Source organism: Homo sapiens, chromosome 2 (genome assembly GCF_000001405.40).
Source record: "Homo sapiens chromosome 2, GRCh38.p14 Primary Assembly".
In the NCBI taxonomy this organism is placed as follows: Eukaryota; Metazoa; Chordata; class Mammalia; order Primates; family Hominidae; genus Homo; species Homo sapiens.
Genome location: NC_000002.12, coordinates 80005191 through 80018340, shown reverse-complemented (window position 1 = coordinate 80018340; position 13150 = coordinate 80005191). Strand labels below are relative to the sequence as shown.

General features: G+C 38.4%; 1 protein-coding gene across 11 annotated transcripts in view, besides 2 other annotated features; it reads right to left on the bottom strand.

Annotated features, from left to right (window-relative positions):
- CTNNA2 (catenin alpha 2) overlaps window positions 1-13150 on the bottom strand; it is a 1463404-nt gene that overhangs the window by 630440 nt on the left and 819814 nt on the right. The gene's annotated exons all lie outside the window — the stretch shown is intronic.
- Window positions 9437-9936: an enhancer, noted in NCBI's record as "OCT4-NANOG-H3K4me1 hESC enhancer chr2:80235531-80236030 (GRCh37/hg19 assembly coordinates)". NCBI's record gives its function as "activates a minimal SCP1, AML or CMV promoter by ChIP-STARR-seq in naive H9 embryonic stem cells {active_cell/tissue: H9 hESC(naive)}" and the evidence as "EXISTENCE:reporter gene assay evidence [ECO:0000049][PMID:30033119]".
- Window positions 9937-10438: an enhancer, noted in NCBI's record as "OCT4-NANOG-H3K4me1 hESC enhancer chr2:80235029-80235530 (GRCh37/hg19 assembly coordinates)". NCBI's record gives its function as "activates a minimal SCP1, AML or CMV promoter by ChIP-STARR-seq in naive H9 embryonic stem cells {active_cell/tissue: H9 hESC(naive)}" and the evidence as "EXISTENCE:reporter gene assay evidence [ECO:0000049][PMID:30033119]".

Genomic DNA, 13150 nt, shown 5'->3' with positions numbered 1-13150 from the left:
ATATTATAACAACAACAAAAACAAAGTAACAGGCTTTTTTAATATAATGCTTTAGAGCTCACATAGCACTCTTCTGAAATGTGTCCAATTCTCACAGCTTTTTGAGACAGGAGGTATCTTTGAAATTGAAGTTCAAAGAGTTTAAGTAGTTATATCCATTATGAATAGAAGCTAACAGAGCTAGGACATCTTTCTTAATTTATGAAGCCGAATTCTGTAACATTCCATAACATTCTCAGGTATTTTCAAATTCCATCTCCTTAAAATTACAAATTAATCATGAACATATTTATGCTTTCCTAAACACTAACAATTGCTTAAATTTTATAATATTACATTTTATAATGTTTTAAAACTTTTTGCATCTATTATCTTAATTGAACTTCCCAAAAACATAGTAGTGTAGGCAAGGAAGAGATTATATCCATTTTCTAAATTCTGAGGTTCAAGTAAGTTAAGTGACTTGTGGAAGATCTCCTAGTAGGTAGCACTATTTTACAATGTAGGTGAAATGACTTCGTGGCTTACTGTGACAGGGAGGAATAAAAAGTTAAACCAGAAGCGCTATTTCTTATCAAGATCACAAATATTGGTAGGTCAATGTCTATGAATGAAATTGAACAGAAATAGAGGCCCCAGGCCTTCCGAGACAAGGATACCACATTGACTCCACCTAGACCTGCACATTAGAACCCTGGGAAGACTTATAAATCCCAACCCTTGGGCCAAATCCGAGATCAATTAAATAAGATTATCTGGGGGCGGGACATAGGCATCAGTACTTTTTAAAGCTACCCTTGTTGATTTACATTGGTAAATTTACATATATACATATATATACACATATATACATATATATACACACATATATACACATATATACATATATATACACACGTATATATATCTCAATGTAAATCAGTATATATGTCTATATGTACACATCAATGTAAATCAACAAGGATATATATATACAGGAAGAACTACCATTTGTTTTTTTACTCTTTTATTATATTCACACACTCATCCATCCTTTCATTTATACAACTAATATTAGTTGCACACCTACTAGTGCCTAATAGTGCCAGGTATTATTTTAGATACTGAGGCTGCAGTATGGTCAGAGGCAGGATCCCACCCCACTCCCAGTTAAGTTTACACTCTAGAAGGGGGCTTACCCACTAGGCAAAGGAATTGTGCATTTTGGGGGCTGGAAGAAGAGCACAGCAAAATACAGAAAACTTCAGCATAAGCCCTGGGCTCCCTCCCAGTTGGCCCAACGTTTTTGCCTTGTAGGCTTTTAGAAAAAGTTACTTTCAAATAGAATCAGGATCCTGTTCCTTATAATGATATTTCACCTTGCATATCAAATTAAATGAGAGGCTTTGATAGTTTGAGGTTTAATCATATATTCACCTTAATTTATGCACTAGAAAGGCTCCTAAATTGTTCTGTGTAAATCATTTTTAAGGTAATGTTGAATACTGTCTTCCTATTAACTCAGATTATCATTTATCTTCATTACAAATGAACTTTAATTGGAAGTGGCTCCTAACAAATTTAGCTACAAATGTCTCACTGGGCCTTCCATTAAGCACCAATCAATAAAAAACAAACCAACCAAAAGACAAAAATGTTCCTGGTAAATACATAAAAGGAGTTAGTTATTATTTGAAGTTAATTTCTACAAAGAGACAGAGATTCCCTGATCCTCTAAGTCAACCACTTGAAAAGGCAGCTTTGTAAATATAATAAATCTGTATTTATTCCTCATGGTCAGGAGGCAAAATCTCTTTTCAGGACTGATTTCCTGAAATAGTTAATATTTCTTAAAGTGTCATTAATTAAAGAGGCCTCACTCTCTGACACTTTGCCCTGGTTCCACTTTCTCACTGGCTGACTGGGCTTGCTTAGAATGTTCCTATTCTCCTCGTCTCCATAGCCAAGAAGCCCACAACTCACCCCTCCTTCCTTCTGAGCAGCCTGGCACTCCGTATTGACCCAGCGCTCAGCACTGTCGCCCTGCCTTCCAAAGCTGACTCTCTAACTAGACTCCATAGCTTAACAAAATAGCTCTGTTATCTCAGGGCCAAGCCCAGCGTGTAGCACTTACTTGTTGCCCTTAAAAGGTAATAATGAATAAATGAATGCTTTATTTAAAATTTAATGCAAAATATACTTCTACACTGCAGAAAATTTTCTTGGTCACTAAATGCTCAGATGTTCTTTTTTAACCAATAAAGCCTCTTTTTATTTATATACATATTTAAAAGGGTGGAGGAAATTACTAGTTTGGTTGCAATTCCAGAGACTTCCAAGTGCTGAAATGACTCTAAATTGCTGAGGGGGGCCATCTTGGATTTTCTTAAAGTCACGGCTGTCCTTTGAAGCAAATACGAATTCTGTAAACACTGATCATCAAGTCTGCAGATTAGACTTTCCCTTTACATCTCTCTTTCCTCCTTACATTTCCTTTTGACCACTGAATGCTATCAGGAAATGGGTATGAAAATTAGATGGAACCCAAATTGAATACATATTTCCACTCAGCAAAGGAAGCAATTTGAATGGCAAAGTAGAGACGCCTAACAATCTTCAAATCCTGCAGTACTTGAGTGTTTACAAAAACTGCTAGTTTAGGCAGCACGTGGATTATCATATCTGATTTATAGATAAGAATATTGAGAAAGACATCCAAAATCACCTAGCCGGTGGAGGGGGAGAGCTAGTAAGCAAATCCCAACTCCCCATTCCACGTCCCGTATCCTTCTGCACACACCAAATTCTATGGAGGCACCATCTTCTCCTCTACTTCACCCCCTCAACTATGGATAATGGAGAAACAACTGTAATTGGAGACAGTAAGTACCCCATCAGAGAGCGCTTCAGGGTGACAGCTTTCATGGTGTTAGGATCAGCGATCTGATGGTTCCATTGCTTGATGCAATGGCTGTGAACGAGCCCTGCTTATTGTCATATCTATTACTGAGACTAATTAAAACAGAAGCTCTTTCTCTCAATTATAGCATTGGGTTGGTTTAATTTCAAATACAGAGAGAACAGGTACACAAGCAGGCCAAAAGAAGGGGGGAAAAGGGATATTATGTGATTATCAGAGCAGCACCAAATAAAGCTTCATCTAGAACACATAGGGAAGGAAATTCAAGCAGTAAAAGATGTGAGGATGAGAAAACAAATGCATTCTTTGTTATAAACCAGCCAGAAAGCATGTCATTACTGTCCATCCATTACACTACTGCTTCTAAAAATTAAATAGACTCCCCCATATAACGGAATCACTGATTGAAATAACTTTTTGGTCCAGTTTGGCTGAGGATGGTGGAATATTCTAAGAAAACCTAGAGATAATTTTGACCACCCCACATCATGGCATCTCCAGATTCCTCTTCTAAGTATTATACTCCTTCCCCATCTTGAGGTGATTAAAGGAAAGAGATTCTGAGCATAAAAAGAATGTACACATTGGCTGAATAATTTAATGATTCATATAGGGTAATTCCAAAGTCATTATCTCATTCAGTGCATCTATTTTCAGAAAAGCACATTCTGATGTCAGATAAAGTCTGCAAATTTCTTTGTTTCATGACTGTTGACAAATATTTATGAAAGAAGAAAAGGGTGAGAGAGGGAGAGAGAAAAAGAGCACCAGCTTGTGTCTTTGTGTCTGTGTATTGCTGAAGTTTGAAAGAATGTGCAGGGCATAGTCTGGGTGTCAGTGAAGAAAGCAGGTTGGTTGTTGGCATGGAGTCTTTTAAGGTGACTTACAGCTTGGTGTATTCACTATGGTTCAAAAACTTTGGTGAGGATCAAATGATATGATATATGGTAGCACTTTGAAAAACATCAAGAGTTACATAAGCATAAGGCTTTATTATAGAAAATATATGTCTCAAAAGATTAGGAAAACTTTAAAAAAAAAAAAACAGAAGAGATCACAGAATAAAACACTTTTTCATGAAACTTCTTGTCTTTTTTCATTGTCGTCACCCCTCCGGAACCATGCCCTTTACCACACCAGGAAGAAAGGCATCTTTCTAGCTCCCTTCCTCCTGCAGCTTCTGCTCATACTACATTTAATATCCCATTTCAGAAACTGTTATAAAAATGATTATTAAAAGAATTAAATTTTGATAAAAATAATGAGTACAGTGATACAATGAAAGTACCAGTCAATGAGCAATAAACTATATGTACAAATAATAATAATGCTACTTAGCAATTTTGTAGATATATAACTTGATAAATATTGCTGTCTTCTATGGTAGAAAATTTTAGACTTGGGTCCTAGTCCTACATTGTAAATCCTAACTGAGTTTTAAGCAATCTAATTCTCCTTACTGAACTTCAGATTTTTTCCTCCTGCAAATAAAGAGACTGCACTCAACAAGTGCCTAGAAGCCCTCCTAGACCTGGTAGGCTGTGAGCCATGAATTACATGCTACTGGAGGAGGAGCCAGCAGAGAGAATTCGTTTCTAGAGGCAATCCTCAGGAGTAAAATACCTGTTCACTTTAGACTTTGACTTTCATAAGTAAGTAGGATGCTGGAAGACAGTGTCTGGCCAATAGCATGTACACGTAATGTGGGAGAGCATGCTTGACCCATCACCCCGCAGATTCTACTTAGGGAGAGACTGATTTTTCCTGGTGAAATGACTGGGTAAATTACGTGGGTGGAAGAGAACAACAGGGTTAGATGGATGTGCTAAGAGCCAAGGCAACCAAAACTGTTCTGCAGAAGGCACAGAAAAGGTTTTGGTTTTACATTTGGGTAGATGAGGAAGAAGTATGGATAAAGCAGGTTAGTGTAAGTTCAGTGTGATGTAGGGGAAATAGTCAATGAATGCCTGCTAGTTTTAAGGTAGCTGAAGAACAATTTAAAAAGTGGAATGCTTAATGTTCACTTAAAAGATAGCTGCAGTTTTGCAGTATAACTCCTCTTTTCTCCTCCCCTAAAATACTCAGGAAAGAGTGTTATATTCCTGTTTTGAATAAATGTAATGGTTAGTTCTTTTGACTGTCCCTTTATGGAAATAATAAAAGGGTGAAAACTCAAATCTGGATCGAAATGTGTAGGACAGAGATAACCTTGAGAATGTAAACTACCAGGGGTTTGCAGGCCTCTTTGAGACTGTTTTGGACTTTTTTTTCTTTTTTAGGCAAGATCTTGCTCTGTCACCCAGGCTAGAGTACAGTGGCATGATCATAGCTCACTGCAGCCTCAGTCTCCTGGACTTAGGTGATCCTCTCCCATCAGTCTCCTGAGTAGCTAGGATTACAGACGTGCATCACCATTCCTGGCTAAGTTTTAAAAACTTTTTGTAGAGACAGAGTCTCATTATGTTGCCCAGAATGGTCTCAAACTCCAGAGCCCAAGTGATCCTCCCAGCCTCCCACAAAGTGTGCTGGGATTACAGGCGTGAGCCACTGTGCCTCGTCGAGAATGTTTTAAATTTTAGAAGAGCATGGAACAGGAAGAATATCTGATCTTACAAGGCCAAGAAATATCCTGTGATCATTTATTTTATCTATTCTCATGAGTGGCAGATAAGGAAAGACTAAATTGGAGTTTAAGAGAACTTTGTGAAACTTCTAGACTATAAGCTAGAAGAGGAATCGACAAAAACTAAAACCCACGGGCCAAATCCAGCCTGCCATTTGACTTCAAAAATAATGTTTTATTTAAACATAGCTATGCTCATTCATTTGCATATTATCTATGGCTGCATTCATGCCATGACAGGAGAGTTGAGTAGTTGTGACAGAGACCATATGGCTTAGAAAGCCTAAAATGTTTGTATCTAGTCCTTTACAGAAAATGTTTGCTGACCCTGGGATAGAAAGGTACTTTGGTGGGCAGATACCTTTGGACAGCCTGACTCAGAATCTTAGGAAATGTAGCCCCCTTTTTCTCAAGAGGCAACAAGACAGCTTTATAAGATTTGCCTCAAGAATTGCTATGCTCTTTCTTCATCAGCCTCTCATGGACCATTATCTTGACAGAATGCATTCCCAATAAGACAACACATATGGCAATTGGAAGGAACTTTTGAATAGGAAACTCTAACTGCTGGGTTTCCTCTCATTACAGCCATCGAACCCTCATGTGTTTATCAAACATGGACAAAGTATCTTCTCTCTGCTTGGCACCGTCGTAGGCAATGAGAGCCCTGGGACCAATGAGACACTGCCTGCCTTTAGAGAGGTTACAAAGGGAGGGAGACTGGTCTCAAATCACTGGAATCCAGAGCAGTGGTTACAACAGCAGAGGCCTGTAAACGTACATCTGCTCTAGCAATTGCTTAAGTGTTCAAGTTATCGCCCCAGTAATCAGAAGTGGTGTATGACTGCTTCAGTTGTACTGAAGTGCCCCCATCCTCTGCTGCCAACATCATGGTTAATCTTATTCAAACATGGCACACCTGCAAAAAACAGGTAAAGATAATGCTGATCACATTTTCAACTACTTTAAAATGAAACCAATGAGTGTTTCTAAAAAAACATGTTATCACAAAACATAGATACTGGAACATCGTAACACCTAAATCCATATTTGTTGAAAGCATATATGGGAAAAACAGAGAAAGAACTCTTAACAACTTTATTGCTTATATGTAGGTAACAAAGATGATGACTTGATGAAAACCAATAATTTAAAACAAAACAAACAACAACAAGAAAAAACAAAACATCAGAACAGAGGACCATGGAGATCATTCATCTAACTCCCTCACTGGACACTCATCTCCCTAGTTCCTGGCAGAACTAGCGCTAGAATGTTGATGTTCTTTTTTTGAAGTTAGATCTCTTTCTACTCTACTGGTAGGTTCTCTACTATGTACTGTGTGACTCTCACTTTCTGAGGTGGTGACTCGGGTGTGGATAAAGCCAGGATGTGCCAAGGCAGCAAGAAAAAGGCCAAACAGTTATGGGCCAAGCCTCCAACTTCAACTAGAGCAACTCTTTATTTTCTGTCATATTTCTATATACGTAGATTCTGCCTGAGATTCGGCTTGAAAAAGAATAACATAGCCACAAAATTTTACAACTATAGCATTTTACCAAGCTCTGCCTCTGAGTTGAAAATATAAATAATCTTTTCTCAATATTAGCCATGATGTGAAGGCTTTTATAATGCATTACATTTTGGAAGGACTCTAGGTTTTTTAAATAATAATAAGCATGGACTATTTGCTCTTGAGGGGTGTAAAAATGAGTCTGTAAGAGGTGTGTTTCTTCTGTTTGGAGTGGGGAGGTGTCCCTTGTGACAGGCAGTGAATTCCATGTTTTTCATCTGGCAATCTAATTCATAGCAAGGATTATAGTGGTGATATTCCACTTAAGCCTTTACCTCAATGATGCCATTGATTCCACACTTGAAAATCTATATATGGAGACCCTCAATTTTACAGAGATTTCGAAGATCTTCAATTTTTGTATGAATTTTGAACAAGAGCAAAGATTCTGGAAAAAGTTGCAAAAATGTATTCCTCCAAAAATGTATTCCCACTATTTTTCCAAAAGACAATGCTGAAAATGAAATGTGGAGAATTTTCATTCTAAAACTGCTTTATTGGTGCAAAAGTGATTGTGGAAAAAAAAAAAGTGAATGGCAAAAACCACAATTACTTTTGCACCAACCTAACTAGACCATCCAGAGCAACTATGACAATTTCAAAATCTTTAGGAATTATTACACTTGCTAAAATCACTTAATGTTCCTGGGCACATGGCTCACACCTACAATCCCAGAACTTTGGAAGGCCAAGACACAAGGATCACTTTAGCCTAGGAGTTCAAGACCAGCCCTGGCAACAGAGGAAGACCCCTTTCCTACAAATAATAAAAAAAATCCAGGCATGGTGGCACGTGCCTGTAGTCCCGGCTACTCAGGAGGCTGAAGTGGGTGGATTATTTGAGGCTGTAGTGAACCATGATCACACCACTGTACTCCAGCCTGGGCAACAGAGTGAGACCCTGTCTCAAAATAATAATAATAATAATCACTTAACACAATTGGCCTACAGAATAGTTAATGAGGACTGCTGAAAGGTAATCTTGAGTTCTGTCTCAGTCTTCTAACCTGTGTCCTGGGAGGTGCAAGTGACACTCAAATTAGGGAACTCCATGGCTTTGTAAGAGGGAATATGTGAGAAGGGTGAGAAATATTTCATTACTCTGCTCACGGATAAAAGATGAGAAGGGGTAGGGAGCTATTATTTCTCAATGTTTGTCAAACATTGTGCAAAGAACATTTATTTATATAATCACATTAATCACATTTAATTCTAAGAAAAGTTATTGGAGGTAGGTGGCAATTTTATCAGTGAAGGAGTATACCTTGATGAGTCTAATCAATTTGCCCAGGTTCATGCAACTTGTAAAGTAACAAAGCCAACATCTGAACCTAGGACGGTCTGTTTCCCAAGTCTGTCCTCTATAAATAATCTCTTTTATAAAATGTTTCCAACTATCCAACGTAGAGATCATGGCTTAAGAAGTTAGACTGTAAATAATCTTAGATGAGAGTGTATTGTCTTAATCTCTGTCTCTCTCTGTCTCTCTCTCTGACACACACACACACACACACACACAGACACACACCAGCTTTGTATAGTCTACATTTTTTCTAGTATCCTCAAAATTGCTCAGGATGAATGATACCTTTAATTGTGCAGAATCTCCTCCCATAATAAACAGGCTTTCATTTAAAAACTTTTAAATATATATTTAAAAAGCGTATATGTGTGAATGTGCATATATTTTCATGTATGTGTGCACATGTGCATGCCTGTGTGTTTTGGGAATATTGCGAAGTACAAACACACTAGACAGCTGCATTTCACAGTTGAGTCTTCAGGCAGCAATATTTTAGCAGAATGAACATCAAATCTTCCCAATGACTTGCGAGCTGTGAAAGACATTGCAGCTAACTCCAACTGTAAAAAATATATTGGCTTCAGAAGAGAAATGGCATTTGGAAAGCTATGCTTTAAAATGATGTTGGGGGAGAGAAAAACAGAAGGCTGCAGTTCTCAGAGTAAAATAATCACATTGAAGGCCCAGATGCAGAGCTGGAGGTGTGGGGAGAAGCTCAAGATCTCCTTTTCTGTTTATCAGATTTACTGCAGATCCTGCAAGGATATGCAGTTATAAAAGTACCATATACTCAGGTAAGCTTTGGATCATGGGATGTTCCCTGCCTTTCATTCTGTCCTCTGAATTCTAACACCATGTCAGACAGTAAAAGACAACTTCCATCCCACCCAAGATGCCTTCTCCAATGCCATAGTTTGTATGTATGTCTTTCACTTTGTTTTGTTTTAAACAGAACCAGCTTCCTCTGGCATTTCAGTGTCTCGGAAAGTCTAAAATATTTTCTGTAAGCCAGCTCCTCCATGCTAACATCTTGTTCTGCACAAAAGTTGATAGTCAGTATCATGTGCTAAATAAGGGACTGATTAAAATACCCACAGAGGCCAGTTACTGAGAGGTGATTTCACACGAAGCATCTTGTTGTTTACATAAGTTATCTCATCTGGTACCCAAAACAGCCCCACTGAGGGTGGTAGTGCCATTTCCATTCTACAGGTGGCAAAGCTGAGTATTAAAGAACATAAGTGACGTGCTCAAAAACACACAGACAGCGGCAGGGCTAGGATACAAACCCAGGCAGTCTGACTGTAGACCCTCTACCTAAACATGGAGGGAAACTGAGTCCTACAGCTACACTGTCCTTTCCTTGAATCTGGGTCCACTGTTTCCTCGGTTCCTCCCATGCATGAATACTCACGGAGAGTTAAGAAGAAGAAGAGAAGTTGATGTGCAAGTGATGAAAAGAATCGCAGAACTGCTTCAGTAGATATCTACCAATGCAGCCACCCCTCCTCTTAATTAGTAGTGAGTGCCTGGGGAGAAGGTTAGCTTTCCAAAGAGCTGGTTCATGCAAAAGCTAGGGAAACTCATTACTCCTCACCACAGGGGTTCAGTTCTCCCTCCCAAATCCTCCTTAAGAGCACAGTGGGGTGACTGCGGGAGCGATAAGGAAACATAAATAACAACTGTGCTTTCTAAACTGCCTAGTCTGCTTCACACTTCTTCCAAAGAGGTAACTGCAAAAGTACATAAGCTTTGTTTCCAGACCACACAGTATGTCAAAATAAGAAGTCAGAAGGACTCAGATTTTCCATCTGTTCCTGGGACAGCAAGAAGAGGAGCAGGGACTTTACATAAGGCTGTAGATCTGGGTCATAGAGCCCCATGATCATAACCATTCCTTAGAGTTCTAGAGAATTTTACAGTTCATAAAGCATTTTCAAGTGGCTGCTCTCAGCCCTCTTTTGAACATTACAAGTTAATGAAGTGGGTCTGAGGCTCTCATAGAGTACGAAACTGAGGAGAGGTTGAGGAATTGTGCAAGAATCTCCCAGCACGTGTGTAACTTGAACCCATGGCCTGACCTGCAGAGTAGTGGTCCTCTCACTGTCCTCACCTCCTCCAATGTTGGGAGAAAGGGTTGTTGCACTGGACCTTCTAGGACTCCATTAGTGAATACACCTCCCCTTACCCCTTCTCTCACTTCTGGCTATAGAATAAAAGGATTCCCCAAGCCTCCTAAATCTGATCTCTAATGAGAACTGTTAAAGAAAGCTGATACAGATATAAGGACTTTAATAGAAAGAGAAGGTTGCTTTAGCTCAGAAAATTTTCAAAGGCATCTTCCTAATGGCTTGGGCAGGGAAAGGGGTCTTGTTTCCTCTCCCTCAGCACCACCCACCAAACAGGCAGAGGAGGCAAGACTGAACACATGTCTACATGGCATGTTTTTGAGAGTACAGGAAAGTCAGTCTCTCCAAAAACACCAAATTAGTAGTAGTTGCTACTAATCAGATTTAAAGTAAAGCATGTAAACTCATATCCTGTTTCTTCTCATGGATAAATATGTAGATATTTATAATATCTTCAAGTTAGAGTAGTAATAAAGTTTTGATGGAATTGGAAAAGGAAAAACTTGGATACACTTGAGTTCATTTACAATTAACACAGTCTCTCGGTTTTGAAAATTGATTATGTTAGACTATATGTATATCATATCCTTCAATCTTCTCGGTAATCCTGTAAGCTAGATGTAACCATCCCCACTGCACAGAGAAGCAAACTGAGGCTTAGAGAGCTAAATAACAAGCTCAATTGAGATGTGGAACTGACATATGAATTCAGGCTTCCAAATAGCTCTAGCTCCACTATTTCAAATGGTAATAGATGTGAAAATCCACATTTAGAGAATTACAAAGTACCAGATTTATAAAGGGTAACATTGAAACATTACTAGCCACAAATGCATTGTCAAAAATTCAGTATGATGCTGATGAAATAGGACTCAAGAACGGTAAGATTTCATAGGCAAGTGAAGGGGAGGGTAAGTTCTCAACTCTTGGGTGATGCTAAGAGGCAGGTTGGCATGGGGATTCCAATAAGAACAGAGTGAAAATATAAGGAAGGCAAGGAGGTAGCGCAATTAATGGGAAACAGACATTTCAAAGCAACTTACCAAAGTGCCCTGGACTTTTAGTCATTCCAGTAAATAGGGTAGTGCCCACAAGAAGAACACTAACCCAGCCTCAGCATCCACACCCATCCTGGAAACTCTCCTGTTAGATGTTTCATTTCTGGGATCAGATACCTAGCGCAGTGGAAATTTGCACGGGCTGAAGCAGAAGGAGTTGAATCCAATAGTGCCATGTTTTTGTATGAGTGTGGTCTTCCCTGAGGTCAGGAGTTCGAGACCAGCCTGACCAACATGGAGAAACCTGGTCTCCATAAGTGCCATGGTTTTGTATGAGTGTGGTCTCCGAGGTTGTGACTTGAAGCACAACTCTCTTACAAATGAGCTGTAGGGTTCTAGACAAGTTATTTGACCTCTCTGTGCTTCAGTTTTTGTTTTTTCTTTTTTTTTTTTTTTACTGCACTTCTCATAGGGATGTTATGATGATTCTGAAATGACATATGCAAAATGTATCATTTTAAATATTATTATGACTGATAGACTTAATACACTTTCTGCAAATATGCATATCTAGAATCATGATTCTAAAAGTGTGTACAGGTGAAACACCCAAGTTCCATGTTAAAACATATTTGTCTCTTCAAAATCAAACAATTAAATACTGTTAAAATAATTTAGTCCATAAGTTTTTCCTTAAATATTAGGAAGCTACTATATCAAGTCTAAACCTACTTTATTCACAAAATAGGTTTCTGTTAAGTCACAGAAACACAACAGAGCAACTTCTAAATAGCAATGGATTATGGAAACTTATTCTTTAGTGGATATAAATGTTCATGAGTATAATTTTATATTGCTCCATACAAAGCAAACATAGCTTTGCTATTATGTGTAGCTCTAGTTTATGGCGTTAAATATAAAAAGTAATTAAATATCTCAATATTGTATTACACTCCAGATGTTCCACCACCTGAATTAGCTTGAAAACCACTGATATGAAAATGTCCTCATTCTTTAGCTGTGCTTGTTTAAAAAAAAAAAACAAATAAACATAGTGATAAACTTGAGTTGTTTGAGTTATTTCTAAATGCATAGTATGATCAAATAAATTGAGCATGCAGCTGACCTATTAATATAATTAAAAAATCTATAAGTAGAACAACTCTGCCCTTCCCCATAGCTGATCTATGGTGATAGGCTTTCTAGGATTTTCTTTCCAAATGCCACTCCTTGGCCGACCCAGGCTGGTGGTTACTATACCATTAAGTGCCAAAACCAAGATTTCTACCATAGCAGGTGAGTGAAACAAATGAAGAACAGCGAATGTTAGTTGCCAGTAAGTGCTCTAAAAGTTTTTTTCCCCTTAAGTTGTCTCTGTTAAGCTCACCATGATAAACTTTTGTGATAGGAACTCATGGTAGGAGATGGTAAACAAGAGATTTGAAAGCCTCATTCTTGCTCAACATGAGCAGGGCCACTCCTAACCCTTAGGACATTTTTATGTGAATTTTAAATATGTGAATCCCCTTCTAGATCAACGTAGCCCCTATCTGCCCCTCCACAGAATGTCTTCTACGTTGTAAAAGTACACAGCTATATGCACACAACTGCATGCAGGGCCCTAA